Here is a 2956-nt window from a genome sequence, read left to right on the forward strand (position 1 = left end):
ATGGGGGCTCTACACATCCAATTGAGGAATGGTCTTTAAGATGAGAAATCAAGAAGAAGCGGGGAACATTTTCCTTCCTGAAACATTAACTGTGGGAAATGAGAGGATGGAAAACCACCTGTGAGGGACATTTCCAGTTTAAAAAAAATTACTAAGGAATATGTTTCTCATCCTCTTTATATACTTGTATATCTAGAAATACTTCTGTGTCTCTTTGTCCATTGTTCAACTCAGTGGTGTCTCTGGGCCAGGCTGTAAATATATCGATGAAGCTGGACATCCTTCATAGTTGGAAGGAATGATGGCTCTTGTAGTATTGTGAAAGGTCTATACGTCTGTGTGTGTTCAATAGGGAACCCCTTCCCATATAAAGCTTCTCAGAGTAACAGAGCTGCTATATGCAAATGAAGCTCTTTGATGTGTATTTTCAATTAATCACTGACTCTCGCACAGGATAAATGAAGTTATTTTCCCCGTTATCAGCTTTAATTCATAGGTTATAATGCTAATGAAGGTTGACTTTTTTTTTGATGTTGCTTCTATTTTTATCATTGTCTTTTCCTTATTTTACTAATTACCTGTGCAATGACATGGTATCTAAATTGATCTAAAGGCATCATTCTAAATTTTAAAAACCAACACTTAAAAAAAAGTAATCCCCACAAGTGTCTTATGCATGAGGGTGAGCGTTTAACTAATTACTATGCAGAAACCACATGTCAATTGCAGAACAATTGCCTGAAGGGAGCAGCAACTCACATAACCCCATTTTGGAGAAGTAGATCTGTTTTTATTTTATCTTTCTCAGTTTTAGCTGGTGTTTTAAAGAGAGATGTGATTTTGCAGCTCTGGGGATCACTCGTCTATTTCAGGAAATTGTCAGAACCAAGAACTGGAGGAATTCAGGAAGAGGGCTCTAGAGCTCTGTTCTAAAAAATGTTGTAGAAGCAGAGTCTTTGGATTTTAATGGCCAAGCTCTGTCCATTTTGTGAGCAAATGTCACAGTAAAAGACAGAAATACAGCTCAGAGAATAGCTTCAGAAGACAAATGGCAGGGGAGGTCCAGGTAGCTATAACTTAGTGCTTTAGTCATCTTTAATGGAAATGGAGCCTCTAGCCAAGCCTAATATATAATGTATCATAAAACATATGTCTGTCAGTCTCCCAGGTACAATAAATAGGGAAAACACAGACCTCAAAGGGAGGCTATGGCATGCCTTGCAGAGGGGCTCAAATTACTTGGCTTGTTGTGGGGGGTTGAAGGCTGTGGGGGAGGAATGATGTAATGTATATTTTTAGTGTTTCTAAGAAATGACTGTCTCCAGCCCTGTTCCGGTGGGCTGTGGGAGAGGGAATGGAAAGGGAGGGGCTGGGTTTATAGATCTGCACGGGAAAATTGAATTGAGTGCCCGTTTTACAGGTGATTAAGCTCTTTCTTTTTTATTTGGAGTGTAGTATAGCAAGGAAGAGATAGGACACGTTCAACTGATGGCATTTTCCAGAATGCCCACCAACTTCTTTTCATTTCACTGTTGCTTTTTCCCTGGTGAAACAGCAGCCCAAAGCACCCTAGTAAGGACCAGCTGTCTGATCCTGTGCTGAAGAGCTCTGGTTACTCTCTCTCAGTGGGGGCTCAGCCACCATCTGAATTTCCTGTGGTCCCAGTATGTTCTGCCTCTGAGCTGGACAATCCTTCTGGGTAGATTCTTATCTTTTTCCACTACTGAGCCTACTTCTTTGAGTACCCGTTCTTCATATGAGCTGCAAAATCTTGGGTGTAACCTCTATGACTCTCAGTTTTCTAATCTGTGTAATGGGAAGAATAAGCTATCTCTCTGGGACTCAAATACAGGTCTGCTTATTTCAACTCTAAAGCATGTTCTATGGCTCACCATAGATCCCCATGCTCAAAATGTCATCTCTGCTGTGTTTTTCTAGACTATGTCCTGCCTTTCCTTAGAAAAGCCCACCGAAGTCCTCTCAAAATGGATTAAACCAGCTCCATTCATTCTGTTTATGCCAGGAATTCTCAATACTTCTTGATCTTTCTACTGTCCTACCTCTCCTGTGTCTCAGCACACAGGTAAGCATGTGCTCAAACATACGTACGTGCACACACACATGCACATACACACTCATGCTCATAACAGCCCCACACAGTATCAAGAGAGTGGCTCTTTGTGTGATGTGATTGGAAGTTATATTGATATCAGATCTGATTCTTTGCCCTAAAATGTGAGGAAACCAGCCCTTTATTCAAATTTGAAAGCCTCATTCTTTTGATTCATGATGATTTTTTCCATGCAAGTTCTGCTAGAAACGACTAAATTATTCCCTCATACTTTGCATGCATGGGCATAGGTGAGATCCTTGGAGAATAGGGGTGGGCTGCTCTCAGAGGAGTGGGTGGGTACCTAAGTCCAACCTGACTCACTTGCCAATGCCAGTGTTTCTCAGGATCAGCCCAGTCTACACAGCTACGTCTGGTTTGTTGATGTTATTGTCATTTATGAATATTTAAGTATGTTCACACTAGCCCAGTTTCTCAGTGATTTTAAAGCTCTCTTCAGAGCTTGAGCCCTCATTTTTTCCTTTGGCTATCTCTTCTAATACTGTTTATATGGAAATTTCTTTGGCAGAATGGCTTTAACTTTTTGACTGTGACCCAGTGTAAGAAATACATTTTACACACAGCATGCATACAAATATATAGATGACTGAAACAAGGCTTTTCCAAAACTATACTAACCTTTCCTATATTCCAGGTCAAATGAATTTTGGCTTATTCTATTCTATTCCATTTAAAAATGATGTCCTTGACTGCTGTGGCAAAATTATTTACCAAACCGATTTCCTCATCTGTGTATACAGCTAGACTACATTTTCTAGCATCCCTTATGGTTCGATGTGGTCAAGGCACTGAGTTCTTGCTAATAAAATGTGATCAGGAGTGACC

Source organism: Homo sapiens, chromosome X (genome assembly GCF_000001405.40).
Source record: "Homo sapiens chromosome X, GRCh38.p14 Primary Assembly".
In the NCBI taxonomy this organism is placed as follows: domain Eukaryota; kingdom Metazoa; phylum Chordata; class Mammalia; order Primates; family Hominidae; genus Homo; species Homo sapiens.